The sequence below is a fragment of the Homo sapiens genome, chromosome 4 (assembly GCF_000001405.40).
Source record: "Homo sapiens chromosome 4, GRCh38.p14 Primary Assembly".
NCBI lineage: Eukaryota > Metazoa > Chordata > Mammalia > Primates > Hominidae > Homo > Homo sapiens.
In genome coordinates this window covers 128,049,611-128,076,098 of record NC_000004.12, presented here as the reverse complement: position 1 = coordinate 128,076,098, position 26,488 = coordinate 128,049,611, and the positions used below count along the sequence as shown (strand labels likewise).

The following is a 26,488-nucleotide window of genomic DNA, read 5'->3' as shown; positions in this document are numbered from 1 at the left end:
GAGGTTGCAGTGAGCTGAAATCCCACCACTGTACTCCAGCCTGGGCGACAGACCAAGACTCTGTCTCAAAAAAAGAATATAACCAGATGAGGGAAATGTGATGAATTAAATTAGGTTATCTGAAAAGCGGGTAAACTATCAAAAGGATAGCTGCCACGTTTTCAGCACCTCTTTATCAATGTATGTGATTTTATACAAATATAAAAATTTGATTACAATTTATAATATGTCTTCATTATTAAAGAAATAATAGGCGAGGTATGGTGGCTAACGCCTATAATCCCAGCACTTTGGGAGGCTGAGGCGAGCCAATTGCTTGAGCTCAGGAGTTTGATACCAGCCTGGGCAACATGACCAAACCCCCATCTCTACAAAAAGTTTAAAAATCTCCCAGTGTGGTGGCACACACCTGTAGTCCCAGTCACTTGGGAGGCAAAGGTGGAGGATCACCTGAGCCTGGAAGGCCAAGGCTGCAGTGAGCTGTGATCACATCACTGCACTCCAGCCTGGGTAATGGAGTGAGACCCTATCTCAAAGGAAAAAAAAAAAAAGAAAAGAAAGAAAGAAATAATAGGTTAGGTTAAGCTTCCCATGAGTAAAGCTTAAGACAACAAGTTCATTACCAATGTTACTGGCAGCATCGAAGAATAACTGCAAATTAAAGTAACAAAATGTAATCTTCTTGATGAATCAAGTTTTTAAATCTGTTCCTCAGCCAGAATGGTAGCTCATACTGTAATCTCAACATTTTGGGAGGCTGAGGCAGGAGGATCACTTGAGCTCAGGAGTTGGAGACCAGCAAAATCCTGTCTCTATGAAAAATACAAAAATTAGCTGTGCACAGTGGTGCGTGCCTGTAGTCCCAGCTACTCTGGAGGTCGAGGTAGGAAGATCACCTGAGCCTAGCAGTTTGAGGCTACAATGAGCTGTGATCACACCACTGCACTCCAGCCTGGAGACAGAGCAAGACCCTGTCTCAAAAAAATAAAAAAAATCTGTCCCCCAGTATGACAATTCTTTACATTTTAAGTAAAATAAAATTCTGCATGTCGAAATGAATACATTTTCCTTTCTTTAAAAAAAAAAACTTTAAAACAATACTCACTCCAGTGTTCACTAATTCACTTGGTGTTGGCCAATTCTCCATATCACTGAAATCACTAGCCTAAGAAGTAACAAATAAGTGTTAGGTCTGAAATTACTTTTAGAAATTTTAAGCAGGAAAAAAACATTTTCTAAAAGTGAAAGGAGTTTTAAATAATCATTTATATTCAGTTATATGCAGGCATCTGCCAAATTAATCAAAAAGTTTCTGCAAACAATAGAACATTTTGAAATAAGAATGGCTTAATCTTATGATAAAACTTTCACCACTATTTAATAACATTAAATTGAGTTATACATGATAACAAAGGCATATATAGAGATTTGGATAAAGGTTATGATTTTCCATAATATTAACTTTAATCTAATACCAATAATACAATTAGAAGAAAAATACACTTATAATAACCTAAGAGTTCTTAGCCTCAATTTTCAAAAATCAATACAGTTAAGAACTATTTCCTATGAAGACATACCTTGTTGGATTTCTTTGTCTTGAGCTTTCCTGCCTTTATAATTTTGAGGGAACCGAATTCTAAAGAAAATATATAGAATTGTTTTTACAACTACTTCATTCAATAAATTCAACAAAATAACTATTATGTCAATTTCAGTAAATCAGTATAATCATCATTTCCAACCAAAATCCAAGGTTCTGAGACTTAAATTCCTAGCAAAAAATCAACCCCATTTGACACATAGATTCAAGGTGATCTTCAGTCTCCAAATCAAGAAGTAAGAAATATTAACAGTGTTGCCGGGCGGGGTGGCTCACGCCTGTAATCCCAGCACTTTGGGAGGCCGAGGTGGGTGGATCACCTGAGGTCAGGAGTTCGAGACCGGCCTGACCAACATGGAGAAACCCCGTCTCTACTAAAAATACAAAATCAGCCGGGCACAGTGGCACATGCCTGTAATCCCAGATACTCAGGAGGCTGAGGCAGGAGAATCGCTTGAACCTGGGAGGCAGAGGATGCGGTAAGCTGAGATCTTGCCATTCCACTCCAGCCTGGGCAACAAGAGCAAAACTCCACCACAAAAAACAAAAAAAAACACAGCGTATTACACTGAACTGACAGAACAATCCTCTCATTAACAGAATATAGGCTGGGCCTGGTGGCTCACACCTGTAATCCCAGCACTTCGGGAGGCCAAGATGGGCGGATCACTGGAGTCAGGAGTTTGAGACCAGCCTGGCCAACATGGTGAAACCCCATCTCTACTAAAAATAGAAAAATTAGCCCAGTGTGGTAGCACATGCCCATAGTCCCAGCTACTCAGAAGGCTGAGGCAGGAGAATCGCTTGAACCTGGGAGGTGGAGGTTGCAGTGAGCCTAGATTGCACCACTGCACTCCAGCTGGGGCGACAGAGCTAGACTCTGTCCAAAAAAAAAAAAAAAAAAAAAAAAAAAAAAAAAAAAACGACAACAATATAACAGGAGAAAATTACAAATACAACTTTTTTTTTTTTGAGACAGAGTCTCTTTATTTCTCTCATGCTGTTTGCTGTTGGTAAGAGTATGAGGTAGTATTTCTTTCTTTCTTTCTTTTTTTTTTTTTTTTTTTTTTTTTTTTTGAGACGGAATCTTCTCACTCTGTCGCCCAGGCTGGAGTGCAGTGGCGCAATCTTGGCTCACTGCAACCTCCCCCTCCGGGGTTCAAGCCATTCTCCTGCCTCAGCCTCCCAAGCAGCTGGGATTACAGGCGCCTGCCACCATGCCTGGCTAATTTTTTTGTATTTTTAGGAGAGACAGGGTTTCACCATTTTAGCCAGGCTGGTCTCAAACTCCTGACCTCAAGTAATCCGCCCACCTCGGCCTCCCAAAGTGCCAGGATTACAGGCATGAGCCACGGCGCCCAGCCAAGGTAGTATATCTTTCAAGGGTAATCTGTCATCTAAAATGTATATAACTTTTAATAAAAGAATTCCATTTTCAGGAAATTATCTAGGAATCAAGAAAAGGTACAAAGATGTCCATATAGGATGTTCAGTGCAACTTTGTTGATAATCCTATTTAAACAGTCTCTACGTAATAATACACAGAATACTATATAACTTTTAGAAATCAGACAAAGCTGTATATGTATTGACATGGAAAGAAGTCCACCAGGTTTTAAATATAATTTTATATATACAGGCCAGGCTCAGTGGCTCACACCTGTAATCCAAACAGCTTTGGGAGGCCAAGGCAGGCAGATCTCTTGAGGCCAGGAGTTCAAGACCAGCCTGGCCAAAATGACGAAACCCCATCTCTACTAAAAAAACAAAAATTAACCAGGTGTGGTGGCGCATGCCTGTAATCCCAGCTACTTAGGAGGCTGAGGCAGGAGAATCACTTGAATCCAGGAGGTGAAAGTTGCAGTGAGCCGAGACTGCACCACTGCACTCCAGCCTGGGCAACAGAGTGAGACTCTGATTAAAAAAAAAAAAATTATATATACGTACAGATTACAAGTAAAAGAAGCCTAAGAAAGGAAATTTTTCATTTTCTCATGTTTTAACATGGAGGAAATCATGCTGCATGTCATTAGAGAACACCTAAGACTGAAATAGCAAGCCAGTTGAGGAAATTGTTTTAAATTTAAAAATTTAAAACATATCTCCATTTTTCAAACATCATTAGTAAGACAGACACTATATACCAGTACATCTTTTTTGAGCATTATTTCACTATCTTTAAAATGTTACTCTTAGGCCGGGCACAGTGGCTCACGCCTATAATCCCACCACTTTGGGAGGCCAACGCAGGCAGATTACCTGAGGTCAGGAGTTTGAGAGCAGCCTGGCCAACATGGCAAAACCCCGTCTCTACTAAAAAACACAAAAATTAGCCAGGCATAGCAGCGGGTGCCTGTTATCCTAGCTACTCTGGAGGCTGAGGCACGAGAATCGCTTGAACCCAGGAGGTAGAGGTTGCAGTGAGCCGAGATCGCACCACCACACTCCAGCCTGAGGAACAGAGCGAGACTCCATCTCAAATAAATAAATAAAGTAAAAATAAATAAATAATAAAACGTTATCCTTAAACCCTGGGACCTACAAGGAAATAACTGTAAATAGTTAAAGAAAATAATATATTTTTAAGGGCTAGGATACTTTAAACAAAAGCTACAACACAGCAGAGCCTATTTCACTCAGCTTAATTCTTATGACCATAATCTTTTGGCAAAATTTTAATTAAGAAAATGCACTGATGATATCAATATTTCACATCTTATCATATTTAAGGGAAAATGTGGTAAAAATTAGTGCTTTTTAAAATGTGAAAGAATGGCCAGGCGCGGTGGCTCATGCCTGTAATCCCAGCACTTTGGGAGGCTGAGGCAGGTGGATCACCTGAGGTCAGGAGTTCAAGACCAGCCTGGCCAACATGGTGAAACCCCATCTCTACTAAAAATATAAAAACTAACTGGGCGTGGTGGTAGACGCCTGTAATCCCAGCTACTCGGGAGGCTGAGGCAGAAGAATTGCTTGAACCCAGGAGACGGAGGTTGCAGTGAGCCGACACAGTGCCACTGCCCTCCAGCCTTGGCGACAGAGTGAGACTGTCTCAAAAAAAAAAAAAAAAAAAATTGTGAAAGAAGACAATTCTCAAACTCTAATAGTGGGAGTATCAGTTTATACAGTTACTTTAAAAAGCAACTTGTAAAGGCCAGTGCGGTGGCTCACGCCTGTAATCCCAGCACTTTGGGAGGCCGAGGTGGCGGATCACGAGGTCAGGAGATCGAGACCATCCTGGCTAACACAGTGAAACTCCGTCTCCATTAAAAATACAAAAAATTAGCTGGGTGTGGTGGCGGGCGCCTGTAGTCCCAGCTACTCAGGAGGCTAAGGCAGGAGAATGGCATGAACCCAGGAGGTGGAGCTTGCAGTGAGCCAAGATCACGCCACTGCACTCCAGCCTGGGCGACAGAGCGAGACTCTGTCTCAAAAAATAAAAAATAAAAATAAAAACATTAAAAAATAAATAAATAAAAAGTGACTCATAAACTTAAAAAATGCCCTATAACCTAACAATTCTACTTCTCAGCATCTACCCTAGAGAAAGGCACACATGGATATAAGACATATGTATAAAAATGTTCAGTTTCTTCTAGATACAAAAATGAAAAAAATCAAGATAATCAACAGGTAAATCTCTAAATCAACTATGTCAGCCATATTTAGGACCACTCCTTAGCTATTTTTTTTTTTAATTGAGATAGGGTTTCACTATGTTGCCCAGGCTGATCTCAAATTCCTGTCCTCAAACCCCGGTCACCTTGGTCTCCCAGAGTGTTAGGATTACAGGTATGAGCCACTACAGCCGGTCATCCTAAGCCTTTTTTCTTTTTGAGACGGAATTTCACTCGTTGCCCAGGCTGAAATGCAATGGCACCATCTTGGCTCAGTGCAACCTCCGCCTCCCGGGTTCAAGCAATTCTCCCACCTCAGCCTCCCAAGTAGCTGGGATTACAGGTGCCAGCCACCACACTCAGCTGATTTTTGTATTTTTAGTAGAGAGAGGGTTTCACCATGTTGGCCAGGCTGGTCTCGAACTCCTGACCTCAGGTGATCTGCCTACTTCAGCCTCCCAAAGTGCTCGGATTGCAGGCATGAGCCACCGTGCCCGGGCAGTCCTCAGCAATTTTTAAAAGGAGTTTAGATTTAGTAAATTATCTTCTTTTTTTTTTTGAGACGGAGTCTCACTCTGTCACCCAGGCTGGAGTGCAGTGGTGCAATCTCTGCTCACTGCAAGCTCCGCCTCCCGGCTTCACCCCATTCTGCTGCCTCAGCCTCCCAAGTAGCTGGGACTACAGGTGCCTGCCACCACGCCCAGCTAATTTTTTTTGTATTTTTAGTAGAGACAGGGTTTCACCGTGTTAGACAGGATGGTCTCGATTTCCCGACCTCATGATCCGCCCACCTCAGCCTCCCAAAGTGCTGGGATTACGGGTGTGAGCCACTGCGCTCGGCCTCAGTAAATTATCTTAAGATGACATCAAAGTTTTTCATTTTTGTAAGGAGAATATATTTATGCATTTTTTCTATATAACTTACTTAAAATGGTATTTCATTAGGGTAACAACAGTAAGCTTACTTGAGGTTTCTAGGAACCAAACAGGAGAAAATAAGGTTGATGAACCAAATAGTAGGAGAAAAGAGGTTGATGATGAACATAGGGTTCGAGAAAAATAAGAATAAAAAAGACAGAAAAAAATCAGTATTTTTTAAACATCATATTGTTATGAGTAAAAGAATGGAAATTATACTAGAATGCTGATGTTTAATAGGCAAAAAACAACCATAAATACAAGTAAGGGATTAATAAACCCATATTGTGATTTTAATAAAAGAATCCGTGCCCCTTCTGTCTAGCAGCAGCCATCAGGTAAGCCAAGATGGGGGCATACAAGTAAATCCAGGAGCTATGGAGAAAATGCACTTTCTTCTGAGAGTTGGTTGCTGGCAGTACCACCAGCTCTCTGCTCTCCACAGGGCTCCCCACCCCATCTGGCTTGATAAAGCGCACCAGCTGGGCTACAAGGCCAACCAAGTTTATGTTATATATAGGATTCGTGTTCGCCATGGTGGCCGAAAGCACCCAGTTCCTAAGGGTGCAACTTATGGCAAGCCTGTCCATCATGGTGTTAACCAGCTAAAGTTTGCTCAAAGTCTTCAGTCCATTGCAAAGCGGCAAGCTGGATGCCACTGTGGGGCTCTAAAAGTCCTGAATTCTCACTGGGTTGGTGAAGATTCCACATACAAGTTTTTTGAGGTTATCCTCATTGATCCATTCCATAAAGCTATCAGAAGAAATCCTGACACCCAATGGATCACCAAACCAGTCCACAAGCATAGGAAGATGCATGGGCTGCCATCTGCAGGCCGAAAGAGCCATAGCCTTGGAAAGGGCCTTAAGTGCCACCACACTATTGGTGGTTCTCACCAGGGAGCTTGGAGAAGGCGCAATACTCTCCAGCTCCACCGTTACAGCCAATATAAGTAAAGTTTGTAAAATTCATACCTAATAAACAATTTAGGACAATCATGTCTGCTTACAGGTATTATTTATCTGTTAAAACTAGTCTGCAGACTGCTTCATGAATGCTTTGTCAAGTTAAGAAAAGTTAAAGTGCAATAATGCTTGAAGAGAATAAGTGATGGTGTATCTTCCTTCTAATAAGATAAACTTTTTTGTCTTTGCTTTATCTTGTTAGGGGGTTATATGTCAGTGTATAAAACATACTGTGTGATATAATAGGTTTAAAATAAATTATTTAAAAGAGGGAAAAAAAGGAATCTGCCAGGCCAGGCTCACACCTGTAATAGCAGCACTTTGGGAGGCTGAGGCAGGGAATCCTTTGAGGCCGCCAAGAATTCAAGACTGGGCCTGGGCAATATAGTGAGACCCTGTCTCAAAAAAAAAATAAAAATAGCTTGAGTTCAAGAGTTCTGAGACCAGCCTAGGCAACATGGCAAGATACTGTCTCTATTTTTAAATTTAAAAAACAAAAATAAAATAATTTGCCAGGCATGGTGGCACATGCCTGTAGTCCTAGCTACTTGAGAAGCTGAGGCAGGAGGATCCCTTGGGCCCAGGAGTTCTAGGCTGCAGTGAGCTATGATTGTGTCACTGTACTCCTACGCTAGCCTGGGTGACAAAGTGAGACTCGGTCTCTTAAAAAAAAAAAAAAGCCGGGTGTGGTGGCTCATGTCTGCAATCCCATCACTTTGGGAGGCCAAGGTGGGTCAATCATCTGAGGTCCAGAATTCAAGATCAGCCTGGCCAACATGGTGACACCCCATCTCTACTAAATATACAAAAATTATTGGCCGGGCGCAGTGGCTCACGCCTATAATCCCAGCACTTTGGGAGGCCGAGGCGGGTGGATCACGAGGTCAGGAGATCGAGACCATCCTGGCTAACGTGGTGAAACCCCGTCTCTACTAAAAATGCAAAAAATTAGCCGGGCAAGGTGGCGGGCGCCTGTAGTCCCAGCTACTCGGGAGGCTGAGGCAGGAGAATGGCGTGAACCCGGGAGGCGGAGCTTGCAGTGAGCCGAGATTGTGCCACTGCAGTCCAGCCTGGGTGGCAAAGCGAGACTCCATCTCAAAACAAAAACAAAAACAAAAATTATGCAGGCATGGTGGCGAGCGCCTGTAATCCTAGCTACTCGGAAGGCTGAAGCAGAAGAATCGCTTGAACACGGGAGATGGAGGTTGCAATGAGATTGCTCCATTGCACTCCAGCTTGAGCGACGAGAGCAAGGCGCCATCTCAAAAAAAGAAAAAAAAAAAAAGGAGGTATCCAAAATAAAACTAATACCAAGTCAGGACACAGATGGGAGAAGTTCCTTCTGGTCTCATGACTAAATTTCAAGATAAAAGGCCTCTTGGGTGGGCAGCAACTTTGGCTGAAGAGTGCCTCATCTGGATTTCTAGAAACAGCAACACATGATCAAAATCATCCTAAAAGTGGAAGAAAATTTCTCACAAGGGCCGAGGCATCAAGAATCTGGTTCACTTAGATGTGCAGGTTGTAATGTAGAGAAAATTCATAATTTCTGTCCTGAAATATTCTCCCCTGTGTTTCCTATGTTTCTAACTGTAGTAATAAACTTCCTGGCAAAATTCTGTGGATGGAATTCCTTTACCTCATTAACAGAGTAACAGTAAATCCAAGTTTGAGCAGGATAGACCTGATTTAAGTCTGTTATTTCAATACAATTCTCTCTCTCAAAGAGCATCCTGTTTTGTAGAATTATACAATTTATATAGTATAAATTATACAATCACTAATAGATAACTAATAGATTTAGAGGTACCCACTGTGAACTTTAAACAACTTCTGGTCCTATTTCTTTACTTCTTAAGTTGCAAATTTGCTTAAGAAAATAGCCTGAGGTCAACCATGGTGGCTCACCCCTGTAATCCCAGCACTTTGGGAGGCCGAAGCGGGCGCATCAACTGAGGTCAGGAGCTCGAGACCAGCCTGGCCAACGTGGTAAAACCCCATCTCTAGTAAAAATTAAAAAAAAATAATTAGCCGGGCAACCATGGTTGCGCGCGCCTGTAGTCCCAGCTACTCAGGAGACTGAGGCAGGAGAATTGCTCGAACCTGGGAGGTGGGGGGTTGCAGTGAGCCAAGATCGCGCCATTGCACTCCTGCCTGGGTGACAGAGCAAGACTCTGTCTCAAAAAAAAAAAAAAAAATGGCAAGAAAATAGAAAGCCCGGCCAGGCACGGTGGTTCACACCTGTATCCCAGCACTTTGGGAGGTGGAGGTGGGAGGATCACCTGAGGTCAGGAAGTCGAGACCAGCCTGACCAACATAGAGAAACCCTGCCTGTACTAAAAATATAAAAATTAGCCAGGCATGGTGCCGCTTGCCTGTTATCCCAGCTACTTGGCTGGCTGAGGCAGGAGAATCGGGGGAACCCAGGAGGTGGAGGTTGCGGTGAGCAGAGATCACACCATTGCACTCCGGCCTGGGCAACAAGAATGAAACTCCATCTCAAAAAAAAAAAAAAAAAGGCCGGGCGCAGTGGCTCACGCTTGTAATCCTAGCACTTTGGGAGGCCGAGGCCGGCGGATCACGAGGTCAGCAGATCGAGACCATCCTGGCTAAGATGGTGAAATCCCGTCTCTACTAAAATAATACAAAAAATCAGCCGGGCATGGTGGCAGGCGCCTGTAGTCCCAGCTACTCAGGAGGTTGAGGCAGGAGAACAGTGTGAACCCGGGAGGCGGAGCTTGCAGTGAGCAGAGATTGCACCACTGCACTCCAGCCTGGGCGACAGAGCGAGACTCTGTCTCAATATAACAAAAAAAAAAAAAAAAAAAAAGAAGAAAGAAAGAAAATAGACAATAGAAAGCCGCCAGGCAGGGTGGCTTACACCTGTAGTCCCAGCACTTTGTGGGGGCTGAGGCAGGATAGCTTGACCCCAAGAGCTCAAGACCAGCCTGGACAACAAAGGGGGCCCCTGTCTCTACAAAAAAAAATTAAAAATAACTAGCCGGGCATGGCTAATTCCATGGAATGACATGCGTGCCTGTCATCCCAACTACTTGGGATGCCAAGGCAGGGGAATTGCTTGAGTCCAGGAGGTCAAGGCTGCAGTGAGCTATGATCTCACCACTGCAATAGAGCAAGACTGACAATCTATCTACCTATTTAAATAAACTAATGTAAAATGTATTTATTTAAATGAATTAAATAATATTAAATAAATATATAAATGGAAGCCAAGGCAGCCAGGTTATAAGTGGCACTCTGGTATTATGAACCAGAGGAAATGAGTCTATCCATGTTATTCATTTATAATGCCCAGAAATCTTGCCAGAAGTCAACTAGCCAGTTAGTAACAATACCTGCACTAGAACCCAAGTCTCTCAAAACAGTATGTTTCTACACCACAATCTCTTTTATCTAAGTTACCTAAGTTATTTAACTGCAAATAGACTGTGGTCCTGTTTCTTTACTCCTGAAGTTGTAAATTTGCTTAAGAAAATAGAAAGCCTGATTATGTCTGTAATCCCTGCACTTTGGGAAGCAGGAGGATCGCCTGAGGCCAGCAGTTCAAGACCAGCCTGGGAAACACAGAGAGACTCCATCTCTTGAAAAAAGAAAGAAAAGAAAAGAAAAGAAAAGAAAAGAAAAGAAAAGAAAAGAAAGGAAAGAGAGAGAGAGAGAGAAAGAAAGAAAGAAAGAAAGAAAGAAAGAAAGAAAGAAAGAAAGAAAGAAAGAAAGAAAGAAATTAATTGTGGGAGAACAGTGCAGAGTCAGTGTTGGGAAGAGACCATGGTTACTACACTATGCCAGGTCTGAAAGATGGTCTTCCTGCCAGTGCAGAATGGATTCCATCCAAAGACAGAAAGAGTTGCCTACACAAGACAACAGCAAAACTGAAATTTCCATGAACCATACCATACAACTAGTATCACAGTGTTCTTAATCTCCAGTGAAGACTGGAGAATGAAGGCACCAATAGCTTAACTGTTAAATATTTTTCACAGGTCATTTGCAATTAAAGTTCCCAAGGCTTACCTTGACAGTTTTTAAAGTTCTATTATCATTATTATTATTATTAATATTATTATTTTAAACGTGGTCTTGCTATATTGCCCAGGCTAGAATGCAGTGGCTATTCACAGGCACTATGACAGGACACTACAGCCTCAAACTCCTGGGCAAAACTGATTTTTCCTGCCTCAGCCTCCCAGGGAGCTAAAACTACAGGCACACACTACCATGTATGGCTTCGAAGTTTTAAAATCTATGATACTGGTTTTATGATCAACAAAGAGTTCCTACTTGGTAATTCACTTAATTGTCTGTAAGTCTAGAAGTAGAGAGGTGAAACAGCAAATAAGATGATTCACTAGGGTTTTCTTTCTTTGCTAAATTTTAGAGTGCTTGCCACTGGGCTTTAAAAAAGAAAAAAAAGAAAAACTTTATGAGGTCTTCACTTAACCATGTTCTCTTTAGTTAGTAATAGGAGTAAACAAACAGCTCTTTATAGCGAGGAAGGAATTATGCCAATATTAAATCCAGAGCAAACTTTTTTTCTGCAAGTGTCAAAATTTATCAACAATTAATGAGGAGTATTTCTGTGCAAAGGCAAATGAATGAATTAACTCAACACATATCTCCCTCTTTGGAGAGTTCCTCTGAAGAAATGTTAACATAACATAATGGGTGCTTGTAACAATCACCGTACTTTTTTTTTTTTTTTTTTTGAGACTGAGTCTTGCTCTGTCACCCAGGCTGGAATACAGTGGCTCAGTCTTGGCTCACTGCAACCTCCGTCTCCCGGGTTCAAGCGATTCTCCTGCCTCAACCTCCTGAGTAGCTGGTATTACAGGCACGCACCACCATATCCGGCTAATTTTTGTATTTTTAGTAGAGACGGGGTTTCGCCATGTTGGCCAGGCTGATCTCGAACTCCTGACCTCAGGTGATCCACCCGCCTCGGCCTCCCAAAGTGCTGGGATTACAGGCGTGTGCCACCGCGCACAGCCAATCGCCTTACATTTATACCACCTCTTCATCGCATTTGATCCTCACAAGCCAGTAAACACGCTCAAATATTTCTTGTTCTGCTGCTAACCTTTAATTTTAAATAAAAATGAAGACTTGCAAGTAAACAGCTGTCATTTGCATATAAAAAGTTCAAGTCATTTACAACTTAATTTAGAAAGATACGGTTTTGTTTTTTTGTGTTTTTTTTTGAGACGGAGTTTCGCTCCTGTTGCCCAGGCTGGAGTGCAGTGGCGCGATCTCGGCTCACTGCAACCTCTGCCTCCCGGGTTCAAGCGATTCTCCTGCCTCAGCCTCCCCAGTAGCCGGGATTACAGGCATGCGCCACCACGCCAGGTTAATTTTGTATTTATAGTACAGACAAGGTTTCTCCATGTTAGTCAGGATGGTCTTGAACTCCTGACCTCAGGTGATCCACCTGCCTCGGCCTCCCAAAGTGCTGGGATTACAGGCGTGAGCCACCGCGCCCGGCCAGATACTGCTTTTTGTCATGGTTTTTATTTCCATTTTAACTTTTTTTTTTTTTTTTTTTTTTTTTTTTTTGAGAGTGGGTCTCACTCTGCCGACCAGGCTGGAGTGCAGTGGCGCGATCTCGGCTCACTGCAACCTCCACCTCCCGGGTTCAAGCGATTCTCCCTGCCTCAGCCTCTCAAGTAGGTGAGATTACAGGCGCCCGCCACCACGCCTGGCTAATGATCGTATTTCTAGTAGAGACGGGGTTTCGCCATATTGGCCAGCCTGGTCTCGAACTCCTCACCTCAGGTGATCCGCCCGCCTCGGCCTCCCAAAGTGCTGGGATTACAGGCGTGAGCCACCGCGCCGGCCCATTTTTACTTTCTTAAGTTGCAGTTACTACAATCAAAATAAAGCACCGACGGCCATACAGCATTGGTCAGCATTCAAATATAGTGGCATAATCTTATCTCCTCTAAAGGGAAGGAGAGCTGACAATGTTAGAAAACCATTTACCTAACGTGCAATCCACGCTCGCATGTCAACTATCCTATTTCAATTATTTTCCAGCACACTTATAACTTAAAGCACTTTATTTTTTTTAATTATACTTAAAGTTTTAGGGTACATGTGCACAACGTGCAGGTTACACATGTATACATGTGCAGCCATGTTGGTGTGCTGCACCCATCAACTCGTCATTTAACATTAGGTATATCTCCTAATGCTATCCCTCCCCCCTCCCCCCATAAAGCACTTTAAAAACCACATTTAAAGTCTCATTTTTAATATGACTGCTCAGCAGTGTTTTGAAAACCTTTTTTCATCTTATTTCACAAAAGACTACAATCGCGCTTCCACTTACGAATAAATCCCCTTGCTCTGACTTGCTTCAATCCTTTTATGTAAAAAAAAAAAAAAAAAAGTCTACCAAAACTTTCCCATACGAAGCACTGCAGTATCTAAAGTTAGCTACTTTCCCAAGTCACTAACACTGGGGACAAAACACAATCGCAACCGCGCCAGCAGGGATGCGCCGCCAAGCTACCACCTCCGTGCCCCCATCAGGCAAGGAGAACCTGAGGTCCCACCTCTTCCTGCCGCTCCCTTCCCAGATGCCCATGTCTGTAAATAGGCAGAGTGAATGACACCTTGGAACAAATTACCTCCGACTGACAGGGAGGGGAGGCCTGCCGTTACCCGGGCCTGGTGCCCGCTACCGCCGCCACGCGCCGGCAAGTCCCGCAAGTCGCCCCTGCCCGCACCCTGCCAGTGCCCAACGCAGAGCAACCACAGACCTGCCTCCAGGGTTTCCAGCGGGGGCGGTGGCGGACCTGTCGTGTCTGGGGACAGGTGCTGGGGAGGCTTTTTGGTCCAGGGATTTCCCTTAGGCGGCAGCAGCGGCGGCTGCCGCTTTTCCGCAGGGCCAGCTGCCACCTCTTCCCGGGCGTCCTCGGCCGGCGGATCCCGCAGCAACGGCGGCAACGGCGACGGCGGCGGCGGTGGCGGTGGCGGCTCCCCGCCGAAAGGGCCCCCGGGCCCACGCGCCTTGTGCGCCAGGTGCAGCGCCAGGGGCCTCACGGGGACAGCCGCCTGGGGCACGCTGCGTCCCAGCACCAGCGCCGGCGACGGCTCTCCCCGCGCCCCAGCGCTAGTGGCGGCCGCGGCCCTCTCCTCCCTCGCCGCCTCTTTGCCCTCACATTCGGGCGGGGGCGGCTGCTCGGCCGGCCGGTTCGCCGCGGCCAACAGCGACTCCCTCTCAGCAGTCACCGCGGGCGGATCCTCCCGAGAATGGGCGGCGGGCATCGGGGCGCGAGTAGACATCGTCCCTCTGCCCCAGCCGCCCCAGCCGGGGTGGCCCCGAGGCCAGGGAACCCGACTGCCCGTCTCTCCGCCGGGACACCGGCCGGCTCCAACTGGGGACAGACAACCCGAGAGCCCGGCGGCCGTGGCCGCCGCTGCCGCCGCCCGCCGAGGCCGCGCAGCGCCCGGCGTGACGCCCCTCCCCGCACCGAACGGAGCGCCAACCGCCCGCCGGCCCCGTCCTCTCCGCGACGCACGCCCCGAGCCCGCCACCACGCGCCGGGAGCCGCAGCCGGGAGCCGCGAGCCCTCACCTGGCGCAGGGCAGCCGCGGAGGCGCAGCACGCCGAGGCCGAGGAGCTTTACCCGAGTTGGGGAGGCGCGAGCAGCCAAAGCTGGTAACTGCCCGCGGAGGCGTGGAGACGGCGAAGAGGGGCGGCCCGAGAGCACGGGGCGGGGCCTCCCTGAGGAGCGTGACGTGGCTACTCACCGGGTCCTTCTCTCGCCGGGCCTCCCGCGGGAGCTGACGGATTCGCCCGCCCGGGTGCCGCCCGGCCCGAGGGTCTGCCCCGCCCCAGCTGCCCTCCGAGTGCGAGGGAGGACGAAGGGGACGACTCCCGGCTCACTGGCTGAGGCCGCCCCGACTGCAGGCTCAGGGGCGGAGCGCGCACCAGGCCTCTGTGGCTCGCGGCTGGCTCGCGGCCTGCCCCCGCGGCGACGGCGGCCAAGGGCCTGGGCGGGCCGCGCACATGGCGCTGGGAGGACCGAGCGCTCGATTTGCCCTTAGGCCCTAAAGCTGGGTCGCAGCTAGGCTAAGGGAGGGGACGCGGTGTCGACCCCCGGCCTGGGGCAGCTCCCAAGTGAAGTGGGCTCCGCGGCCCGGCCGCTTGGCCCGCTGGCGCCCGGCGCCTCCCCCAGGTGAAAGTTGCCTCCTGGCGCCTCGGGGCACCGCGATCACCTGTAATCTTGAGCCACGTCCCAGATGAAGGGGGAGTTACCTCTCGGTAACTGTTTAGGAAACCTTTGCCCCAGCGTTCGGCTTAGTGCGCTTCCCCGCCCGCATTCCCACCCACCAACTAAAAGAGTTCTAAAGCGTTCCTGAGTAAATTAAATAGTATTTCGCCGGCTTTTAAAATTTTTTGTTACCTGTTTCTTTAATTTGGGTAAATAGCACTTAATTACAAATTAACCATATTCCCAATAGGTTTTTTCTTCCTGGAATGGATGTTAAAATGGTACAAAGACGTTTTGATAATAAATCGGATACGAGCTTTCTACTTGGCACTCACATTCACTTAGAGATGATACTCGTTTCATTTTTGAGTCAGTGTTTGTGTCCTGGTGCAAGGTGGCTGAGAGCAGGTTCCGCCGCTGATTTTTTTCCGAGCCCCCCACCAACCCCATAGCCTTGTTAAATAAATTATCTGTGCTCGCCTTATGTTTGGGCTTTCAACCCCCACCCCCCACCCCACGCCCAATAAGTCGCTTCAATTACATTCAACTTGACGTTAATATTTTTTGCTTACTCAAAAGCCGTATTCGGCACAAATAATTTTCCTAAGGCTAATAACCTATTCATACATAACAGCTATAAACAATAAGGGTTTTCTTGTTTTCCGTGTCAGTGATCTCCAGTTTGCCCAACCCTAAGCAACCTGGCGAACCTTGTTGCAATTAAAAGGGGATTGTACTTCCACCTATATTCCCATCCATCTTTACTAGCTCTGTTATTAGTGGCGCTTTGTATTTTTTATTGGTGGTGGTGATGGTGGTGGTGGTGGTGGTTTGAGACAGAGTCTCACTCTATTGCCCAGGCTGGAGTACAGTGGCGTGATCTCGGCTAACTGCAACCTCTGCCTCCCAGGCTCAAGAGATGCTCCTGCCTTAGCTTCCTGAGTAGCTGGGATTACAGGCGCGCCACTACCACCCGGCTAATTTTTGTATTTTTAGTAGAGACGGGGTTTCATCAGGTTGGCCAGGCTGGTCTTGAACTCCTGACCTCAAATGATCCACCCGCCTCGGCTTCCCAAAGTGCTGGGATTACAGGCATGAGCCACCGCGCCCGGCATTTTTTTTTTTTTAAGAGGTAGTCTCTCTCTGTCGCCCAAGCTAGAGTGCAGTGGCGCGATCGCGGCTCACTGCAACCTCTGCCTCCCGGGTTCAAGCGATTCTCATGCCTCAGCCTCCCGAGTAGCTGAGATTACAGGCGCCCACCACCACACCCGGCTAATTTTTGTATTTTTGGTAGAGACGGTGTTTCACCATGTTGGCCAGGCTGGTCTCGAACTCCTGGCCTCAAGTCATCCCCCCACCTTGGCCTCTCAAAGTGCTGGGATTACAGGCGTGAGCCACCACGCCTAGCCTCACACCTCTGTAAAGTGTCCTTTTAATAATAAACTTAAAATTCCAAAATTTGAGCGTTCCGTCTGATTTTAGTTTCATCTGACTGACCCAATTTGCTGTAATTAACCTCTATCTTGTTACTTCATTCTGCCTCTGCAGCTACGTGCCAGACTCTTCCTCTGCTTCATAGTTCAAAATTAAGGATAAAAGACTGCTTGACCCTACTTATTTTTTCCAGCCAGATTATACAATTCATTAGCCAATCTGTGGATTATCTGCCCTTGGGTAGGGTGTTCACCTGGTCTGGAAGAACAAATTATTTGGTTCAAAACACTGCCATCAGCCAGGCGAGGTGGCTCACGCCTGTAATCCCAGCACTTTGGGAGGCCAAGGCTGGCGGATCACGAGGTCAGGAGTTCCAGACTAGCCTGGCCAACACAGTGAAACCCCGTCTCTACTAAAAATACAAAAATTTAGCTGGGTGTGGTGTCGTGCTGCGATTACAGGTGCCTGCCACCACACCCAGCTAATTTTTGAATTTTTAGTAGAGAAGGGGTTTTCACCATCTTGGCCAGGCTGCTCTCAAACTCCTGACCTCAAGTGATCCACTCACCTCGGCCTCCCAAAGTGCTGGGATTACAGGCGTGAGCCACACACCCAGCCATAAATATCTTTCTTTTTTTGTTTCTTTGTTGGTTTTTTTTTTTTTTTTTTTGAGCTGGAGTCCAGGCTAGAGTGCAGTGGCATGATTTCGGCTAACTGCAACCTCTGCCTCCCAGGTTCAAGAGATTCTCCTGCCTCAGCCTCCCGAGTAGCTGGGACTACAGGCATGCGCTGCCATGCCCAGCTAAGTTTTTGTATTTTCAGTAGAGACGGAGTTTCACCTTGTTGCCCAGGCTGGTGTCGACCTCCTGAGCTCAGGTGATCTGCCCCCGCTTGGCCTCCCAAAGTGCTGGAATTACAGGCGTGAGCCACCGCGCCTGGCCTGTTGAAAGAGGCCTCTTTCTGTTGCCTCACTCTGTTGCCTAGGCTGGAGTGCAGTGGTACGATTTTGGCTCACTACAGCCTCTTCCTCCTGGGTTCAAGCGATTCTCCTGGCATGTGCCACCATGCCTGACTAATTTTTCTTTTTTTGAGATGTAGTCTCACTCTGTTGCCCAGGCTGGAGTGCGGTGGCAGGATCTTAGCTCACTGCAAGCTCCACCTCCCAGGTTCAAGCAATTCTCCTGCCTCAGCCTCCCTAGTAGCTGGGACTACAGGCATGCACCACCATGCCCAGCTAATTTTTTGTATTTTTAGTAGAGACAGGGTTTCACCATATTGACCAGGCTGGTCTTGAACTCCTCACCTCAAGTGATCCACCCTCCTCAGCCTCCCAAAGTGCTGGGATTACAGGCGTGAGCCACCGCGCCTGTCCCTAATTTTTGTGTTTTTAATAGAGACGGGGTTTCACCATGTTTACCAGCCTGGTCTTGAACTCCTGACCTCAGGTGACCTGCCAGCCTCAGCCTCCCAAGGTGCTGGGATTACAGGTGAGAGCCACCGCCTCTGTCTTGCTCTGTCACCCAGGCTGGAGTGCAGTGGCCCGAACTCAGCTCACTTCAAGCTCCGCCTCCCGGGTTCACGCCATTCTCCTGCCTCAGCCTCCTGAGTACCTGGGACTACAGGCGCCCGCCACCACGCCCAGCTAATTTTTGTATTTTTAGTAGAGATGGGGGTTTCACCATTTTGGCCAGGCTGGTTTCGAACTCATGACCTCAGGTGATCCATCCGCCTCGGCCTCCCAAAGTGCTGGGATTACAGCGTGAGCCACTGCGCTGGGCTATGAAGACATTCTTACATGATCTATTCAGTTCCATTTAACTTTTTAATTTAATTTAATTTTTTTTTTTTTTGAGACAGTCTCGCTGCATCGCCCAGACCGTAGTGCAGTGACGCCGTCTCAGCTCACTGCAACCTCCGCCTCCCGGGTTCAAGCGAGACCCTGTCTCAAAAAAAAAAAAAAAAAGAAAAAGAAAAAGAAAACAGCCAGGCGTGGTGGCTCAAGCCTGTAATCCCAGTGCTTTGGGAGACCAAGGCGGGCGGATCACTTGAGGTCAGGAGTTTGAGACCAGCCTGGCCAACATGGTGAAACCCCGTCTCTACTAAAAATACAAAAATTAGCCGGGTGTGGTGGTGGTGCCTGTAATCCCAGCTACTGGGAATGCTGAGGCAGGAGAATTGCTTGAACCCATGAGGCGGAGGTTGCAGTGAGCCAAGATCACCCCACTGCACTCCAGCCTAGGTGAAAAAGCAAGACTGTCTCAAAACAAACAAACAAAAAAACAAAACAAAAAAAAAAACAAAGCATGAGTAAAGATGAGGTTAGAGAGATAGCCTAAGGCAGAGCCTGCAGGGGCTTCTGGATTATGACAGAATTTGAATTCTATCAGAGCAATGGAAAAACACTGAAAAGATGTAAGAGTTAATACCCCTGTTGCTGTAATACGGAAAATGAAGTGGAATGGGCAGTGACAAAATGCAAAATGTGAAAAACATGAAGTTGTTGTAGTATTCCAAGAATGATATGATGATGGTCTGGACTTAAGAGGTGGCAGTGCATAGGACAATGGAATGATTTGAGATACATTTTGGGAATGATCTCATTAACAGGAATTGCTAATCTAATGGATATGAGAAATGAAATAAAGAGATCAAGTTCTAAATTTCTGCCTAAAGCTGGGCACAGTGGCAGCTGCCTGTAGTCCCAGCTACTTGAGAGGCTGAGGCAGGAGAATCACTTGAGCTTAGGAGTTTGAGACCAGACTGGGCAACATAGCAAGACCCTATCTCAGCTCATCTTCTTAGTATTCTTATAATATAATTAAGTAGGAGAAAAAGTTCAGAATTAACTGTAGATAGTGTATTCTGAGTGTAAAATCTGAGAGAATCAAAATGCTTCATATGTTTATATGAAAATCATAGGCTGGGCACAGTAGCTCAAGCCTGTAATCCCAGCACTTTGGGAGGCCAATGTTGGTGGATTGATTGAGCCCAGGAGACTGAACCCAGGAGTTTGAGACTAGCCTGGGCAACATGATGAAACCCGGTCTCTACAAAAAAAAAAAATATATATATATATATATATATATGGCCAGTGAGGACTAAGCTCTCATTTTTTTCATCTTGCCCAAATTCCTATCTGAGGGGTCTGGGGAGTCATGCCCTACAAACCATAAATTCTCATCAGATGGGTTTTATTTAACCCTATATATTGTGACTTACTTTCTAGTGTGACTCTGGCATAACAAAGAAGAAAGTCAAAATATTTTACCCCAAAACATGTTTCTTTGCCATATTTTGTTTTATTTTATTTATTTATTTATTTATTTATTTATTTATTTATTTTTGAGATGGAGTCTCACCCTGTCACCCAGGCTGGAGTGCAGTGGCACGATTTCAGCTCAATGCAACCTCTGCCTCCCGAGTTCAGGCGATTATTTTCCCTCAGCCTCCTGAGTACTTGGGATTACAAGTGCACGACACCACGCCTGGATAGTTTTTTGTATTTTTAGTTGAGTTGGTGTTTCACCATGTTGGCCAGGCTGGCTTCAATCTCAGTGATCTCAGGTGATCTGCCCGCCTGGGCTTCCCAAAGTGCTGGAATTACAGGCTTGAGCCACTGCGAGCGGCCTATTTTTTTTTTCTTTCCTTTGCCATATTTTGAAATGGCCCTGTAAAGCTGTCCTTTGTAGGGGGGGATATTTGCATCTGTAAAGAATCTATATTAACATAGCTAGGTATTTTCTTCCAGGCCCTCCAAATCCTAAAGAGATTAACTAAGAGTGTAGCACCTTTTAAAGATCTGAATAGGAAACATTTGTCATCTATTGTCTCTAAGCGTAGCCACTATAAGGCTTCAAAAATAATCTTGGTCTCCGTAATCTTTTATCTTAACTTCAACATTTTCTTTCTTTCGAAAGGAAAATGCCTTTCTTTCCCAGGTCTTTTTTTTTTTTTTTTTTTTTTTGAGGCGGAGTTTCCCTCTTGTTGCCCAGGCTGAATGGCTCGGTCCTGGCTCACCACAACTTCCACCTCCCGGGTTCAAGTGATCCTCCTGCCTCAGCCTCCCAAGATGCTAGGATTACAGGCACCCACCACCACACCCGGCTAATTTTTGTATTTTTAGTAGAGTTGGGGTTTTACCATGTTGGCCAGGCTAGTCTCGAACGCCTGACCTCAGGTGATCCGCCCGTCCCCGCCTCCCAAAGTACTGGTATTACAGGCATGAGCCACTATGCCTGGCTGCTTTCCCAGGTCTTTAAAGAAACTCAACCAATTGTCAACCAGAAAAGGTTTAAATTTACCTATAGCCTGGAAGCCCCACCCCCGCAACTCCAATTTCAGTTATCCTGCCTTTCCTGTGAAACCAACGTATTTCTTAAATGTACTTGATGTCTCATGCCTCCCTAAAATGCATAAAATCACGCTGCACCCCTACCATCTTGGGCACATGTTCTCAGGACCTCCTGAGGGTTGTGTCACAGGCCATGGTCACTCATATTTGGCTCAGAATAAATCTCTTCAAATATTTTACAGAATTTGACACTTTCATGGATACCCGGTATTGTGGCATGCCTGCAGTCTCAGCCACTAGGGAGGCTGAGGTGGGAGGATCACTTGAGTCTGGGAGATTGAGGCTGCAGTGAGCTGCGATCATACCACTACACTCTAGCCTGGGCAACAAAGTGAAACCCTGTCTCAAAAAAGAAAAAAAAAAAGAAACAAAATCATGTTTAACCTCATTAGAAAGCAGGGAAATGGGGCGGGGCACGGTGGCTCATACCTGTAATCCCAGCACTTTGGGAGGCCAAGACAGGCAGATGACGAAGTCAAAGAGTTTGAGACCAGCCCAGCCAACGTGGTGAAACCCCATCTCTACTGAGAATGCAAAAATTAGCCAGGCATGGTGGCATGTGCCTGTAATCCCAGCTACTCAGGAGGCTGAGGCAGGAGAATCGCTTGAACCTGGGAGGCAGAGGTTGCAGTGAGCCGAGATCACACCACTGCACTCCAGCCTGGGCCACAGAGCAAGAGCAAGATGCTGTCTCAGAAAAAAAAAAAAAAAAGAAAGCAGGGAAATGTAAGTTAAAATCACAAAGAGAAAACACTACAACCTGGCCAGGCTCAATGTCTCACACCTGTAATCCCAACACTTTGGGAGGCCAAGGCGGGCAGATCAAGGAGGTCAGGAGTTTGAGACCAGCCTGACCAACATGGTGAAGCCCCGTCTCTACTAAAAATATAAAAATTAGCCGGGCGTGGTGGCTCATGCCTGTAATCCCAGCTACTCAGGAGGCTGAGGCAGGAGAATTGCTTGAACCCAGGAGGCAGAAGTTGCAGTGAGCCGAGATTGTGCCACTGCACTCCAGCCTGAACGACAGAGCAAGACTCCATCTCAAAAAAATAAAAAAAGAAACAAAGAAACAAACACTACAACTTACCAGATGACATTAAAAAAAAAAAAAAAGAAAAAAAACAGTGTGACACTACCAAAATTAGTACAACTATTGTGGGAAACTGGCAGTACTTAGTATAGTTGAATATGAGCATATCTCTGACCCAGCCATTTTGCTCCAACAGTAATGTGTGCACAAGTGCACCAAAACACATGAACAGAAAAACCCCAGCATTCTTTATCATTCTTCTAGCCCTAAACTGGAAATAGCCTAAATGCCTACCAGCAGTAGAATACATAAATAGTGGCATGGTATATGTGATGGTTAATATTGAGTGTCAACTTGATTGGATTGAAGAATAAAAATCCTTCAATCCAAGAATTGTTCCTGGGTGTGCCTGTGAGGGTGTTGCCAAAAGAGATTAACATTTGAGTTGGTGGACTGGGAGAGGGAAACTCAACCTCAATCTGGGTGGGCACCATCTAATCAGCTGCCAGCATGGCTAGAATAAAGCAGGCAGAAGAAAGTGGAAGGACTAGACTTGCTGAGTCTTCCGACCTTCATCTTTTTCCCATGCTGGATGTTTCCTGCCCTCAAACATCAGACTACAAGCTTTTCAGCTTTTGAACTCTTGGATGTACACCAGTAGTTTGCCAGGGGCTCTTGAGCCTTTGGCCACAAACAGAAGGCTGCTTCCCTACTTTTGGGGTTTTGGGGGACTGATCTACCACTGACTTCCTTGCTCCTCAACTTGCAGACCACCTATCCTGGGATTTTACCTTGTGATAGTGTGAGTCAATTCTCCTTAATAAACTCCCTTTCATATCCTATTAGTTCTGTCCCTCTAAAGAACCCTGACTAATACAGTATATAATGAAATAATATACAGCTTTGAAAAATTAACTACATCTACAGGCAACAATATGGATACATCTCAAAGGCATAGTGTTAGGCTGGTAAACATAAAAGATGGCACACATAAATACACTGTGATTTGTATAGAGTTAAATTTACTTAAAGTTCAAAAAGAGCAAAATTAATCTATTGTGTTAGAAGTAAAGATAGCAGTTATCAGGCCGGGCACAGTGGCTCACGCCTGTAATCCCAGTACTTTGGGAGGGCGAGGCGGGTGGATCACGAGGTCAGGAGTTCAAGACCAGGCTGGCCAAGATGGTGAAACCCTGTCTCTACTAAAAATACAAAAATTAGCCAGGCGTGGTGGCATGTTCCTATAATCCCAGCTACTCGGGAGGCTGAGGCAGATAATTGCTTGAACCGGGGAGGCGGGGTGGCAGTGAGCCGAGATTGTGCCACTGCACTCCAGCCTGGGTGACAGAACGAGACTCCATCTCAAAAAAAAAAAAAAAAAGATAGTAGTTATCTTTGGGAAAGTCAAAGGAGTTAAGAAAAAAATGTAAGGAGTATGATCAATGATTCATGGAAAATTGAGTATGCATCTGTTTCTTCACTTCTCCCTCTTCAGTCCAGTTTCTGGCTCTATCACTCAACCGTGTCACTAAAATATCAAATGACTTACATGTTAATAAGTCTACTGGGTAATTTTCAGTCTTCATCTTTTCCTTTCAGCTTTATTTTTCACAATTAACTACCTAGTGGTAGGTAATAGTTAACACACATATGCTAGACACTAAGTGTTTTACATGTGTTAATTCATTTAATCCTAAGAACAACTATATAAAATACAGATTATTATTGCCCCCATTTTTAAATGAGGAAACTGAGGCAAAATGGATAAATGGCTTGCCTAGAATCATACAATTAGAAAGTGCCAGGGCCGGGCGTGGTGGCTCACGCCTGTAATCCCAGCACTTTGGGAGGCCAAGGCCAGTGGATCACCTGAGGCCAGGAGTTCAAGAGCAGCCTGGCCAACATGGTGAAACCCCATCTTTGCTAAAAATACAAAAATTAGCCGGGTGTGGTGGTACATGCCTGTAGTCACAGCTACTTGGGAGGCTGAGGCGGGAGAATTGCTTGAACCTGGGAGGTGGAGGCTGCAGTGAGCCAAGATCATGCCACTGCACTCCAGCCTGGGCGACAGAGCTAACTAGACTCCCATCTCAAAAAAAAAAAAAAAGACTCCCATCTCAAAAAAAAAAAAAAAAAGAAAGTGCCAGAGCAAGGATTTGAGCCCAAGCAATCTGGCTTCATAGTTCTCCATAGTTCATACTCTTAACCATAACAATACACTATATTGCCTTTTTTTCCCCTTAAAGTTGTTCAACAATACTACAAAATAGCTTGTGGTTTTTAAAATGCAATCAGCCGCCAGGCGTGGTGGCTCACACCTGTAATCCCAGCACTTTGGGAGGCCGAGGTGGGCGGATCACCTGAGGTTGGGAGTTCGAGACCACCCTGACCAACGTGGAGAAACCCCGTCTCTACTAAAAATACAAAATTAGCTGGGTGTGGTGGCCTGTAATCCCAGCTGCTCAGGAGGCTGAGGCAGAAGAATCGCTTGAACCCAGGAGGCAGAGGTTGCAGTGAGCCGCAGATGGCGCCATTGCACTCCAACCTGGGCAACAAGAGCGAAACTCCGTCTCAAAAAAAAAAAAATGCAATTAGCTTATGCATATGGTAACACCAAATGGTACAATATTGTTTATAATGAAAATAAAAAAACAGTTCTACTTCACAAAGGTACTAATCCCCAAAGTTACCATCTTTCAACTTTTGCCTTGCCACTATAAAACATGAGGATTTAACACACTTACATAAGCCCCTGCTCGATTCTCCTCCCAATTTCTGATATTTTTGTTGTTTACTTGGAAATTTTAAATAATTTAAGTAATTTGAACATTTACTTAGTATTTCACCAATTTTAGAAAGAGCTTCTTATATTGCCACTCTATAAAATGAGAATATATCATCCTACCCTTTGTTCTACCTTCCAACGGTTGTCTGCTTTTCTTTATTTTTACATTCAACCCTCTTATTAGAACTCCCATGTGTCCCCCACCAACACACACCATTTTTTTTTTTTTTTTCGAGACAAGATCTCACTCTTTTGTTCAGGCTATAGTGTAGTGCTGCGATCACGGCTCACTGCAGCCTTGACCTCCCAGGTTCAAGAGATCCTCCCACCTCAGCCACTCAAGTAGCTGGGACCAGAGGCATGAGCTGCCAAGCCTGGCAAATTTTTTTTTTTTGAGACGAAATCTCACTTTGTTACCAGGCTGGAATGCAATGATGCAATCTCGGCTCACTGCAACCTCCACCTCCCAGGTTCAAGCAATTCTCCTGCCTCAGCCTCCTAAGTAGCTGGGATTACAGGCACATGCCACCATGCCCAGCTAATTTTTGTATTTTTTTTTTAGTAGAGACGGGGTTTCACCATGTTGGCCAGCGTGGTCTCGATCTCTTGACCTCGTGATCCACCTGCCTCAGCCTCCCAAAGTGCTGGGATTACAGGCGTGAGCCACTGTGCCCGGCCGTGGCAAATTTTTTATTTGTTTCAATTTTTGTAGCGATGAGGTGTCCGTTGCCCAGGCTTGTCTTGGACTCCTGGGCTCAAGCTATACTCCTGCCTTGGCCTCCTCAAATTTCTTGCTTTTCTTTATGGTTTGTCACTAAACATGCATCCCATAGTTTTGCCTATTTTTAAAACTATATGTAGATGGAATCATATGCTACTTTCCGTCTTGCTTCTTTCATTCAATATTATGTTTTTAAGATTCATACAAGTTGAGAGTAGCTGTAGGTCATTTATTCTGTTATAGTATGTGTATTTCATTGAATGACTATATCACAATTTTTTATGCTATTGTTGATGAATTTTTCGGCTTCCAATTTGGGACTACTGTAAACATGGCTTTTATGAACATTTTTTTTTCTGGTGTGCATGTGCCAATTTATTGAGGGTATCATTTTAGGAATAGAATTTCTGAGTCATAGGATCTGCATATCTTCATTTGTTCCAAATATTGCCAAGTCATTTTCCAAACTCTTGTACCAATTCACACACCCACTGGCAGCGTATGAGAGGTCTCCACATCCTGGACATTTCTTCCTTTTCCTTACATTGTCAGGAGTAATCACTTATACTCTATTGAGTAACCATAATATACCTTTGTGCTTTGTTCATAGATTGGTCTGAAAATTTAAGAATCCACAAACAGCTTTATGTTATTTTGAGTTTATAGCTATCTCTTACTGCAGAACAATGTAGTATGAGAGGACTGCATTCCCTTCTCTGTGGTTTCAGTGTCATGATCCCCTAGAAATAAGATCAAATGGGGCTGAGCACGGTGGCTCACACCTGTAATCCTAGCACTTTGGGAGGCCGAGGCGGGCGGATCACCTGAGG

At 45.5% G+C, this 26,488-nt stretch overlaps 1 protein-coding gene and 1 pseudogene across 51 annotated transcripts in view, besides 5 other annotated features; one reads left to right on the top strand and one right to left on the bottom strand.

Moving 5' to 3' along the window:
* Nucleotides 1-15,310, bottom strand: part of LARP1B (La ribonucleoprotein 1B) — a 162,138-nt gene extending 146,828 nt beyond the window's left edge. For 29 of the 51 annotated variants that reach the window (XR_938753.3, XR_938754.3, XR_007057935.1 and 26 more), the window contains exons 1-3: nucleotides 13,880-14,787; nucleotides 1,581-1,639; nucleotides 1,106-1,165 (exon numbers count right to left, since the gene is read on the bottom strand). Coding sequence is in view for 46 of the 51 variants with exons in the window: in XM_011532057.3 (XP_011530359.2) it covers nucleotides 1,106-1,165; nucleotides 1,581-1,639; nucleotides 13,880-14,405 (645 nt within the window). In the remaining 5 variants the exon portion in view is untranslated. Of the gene's footprint in view, nucleotides 1-590; nucleotides 652-1,105; nucleotides 1,166-1,580; nucleotides 1,640-13,879; nucleotides 14,788-14,873 lie in introns of those variants that run through there. The other 22 variants (NR_146772.2, XM_011532067.2, XM_047415871.1 and 19 more) reach the window with 4 other exon arrangements.
* Nucleotides 6,451-7,400, top strand: RPL15P8 (ribosomal protein L15 pseudogene 8; annotated as a pseudogene).
* Nucleotides 13,705-14,563: an enhancer, noted in NCBI's record as "H3K27ac hESC enhancer chr4:128982691-128983549 (GRCh37/hg19 assembly coordinates)". NCBI's record gives its function as "activates a minimal SCP1, AML or CMV promoter by ChIP-STARR-seq in naive H9 embryonic stem cells {active_cell/tissue: H9 hESC(naive)}" and the evidence as "EXISTENCE:reporter gene assay evidence [ECO:0000049][PMID:30033119]".
* Nucleotides 13,705-15,422: a biological region, named in NCBI's record as "H3K27ac hESC enhancers GRCh37_chr4:128981832-128982690 and GRCh37_chr4:128982691-128983549".
* Nucleotides 13,881-15,380: a silencer, noted in NCBI's record as "silent region_15680". NCBI's record gives its function as "represses an Ori minimal core promoter by ATAC-STARR-seq in GM12878 lymphoblastoid cells {active_cell/tissue: GM12878}" and the evidence as "EXISTENCE:reporter gene assay evidence [ECO:0000049][PMID:35858748]".
* Nucleotides 14,564-15,422: an enhancer, noted in NCBI's record as "H3K27ac hESC enhancer chr4:128981832-128982690 (GRCh37/hg19 assembly coordinates)". NCBI's record gives its function as "activates a minimal SCP1, AML or CMV promoter by ChIP-STARR-seq in primed H9 embryonic stem cells {active_cell/tissue: H9 hESC(primed)}" and the evidence as "EXISTENCE:reporter gene assay evidence [ECO:0000049][PMID:30033119]".
* Nucleotides 23,239-23,408: an enhancer, noted in NCBI's record as "experimental_73968 CRE fragment used in MPRA reporter constructs". NCBI's record gives its function as "activates a minimal promoter by MPRAs in K562 erythroleukemia cells, with activity observed for both the introgressed and non-introgressed 4:128973931 variant alleles {active_cell/tissue: K562}" and the evidence as "EXISTENCE:reporter gene assay evidence [ECO:0000049][PMID:34662402]".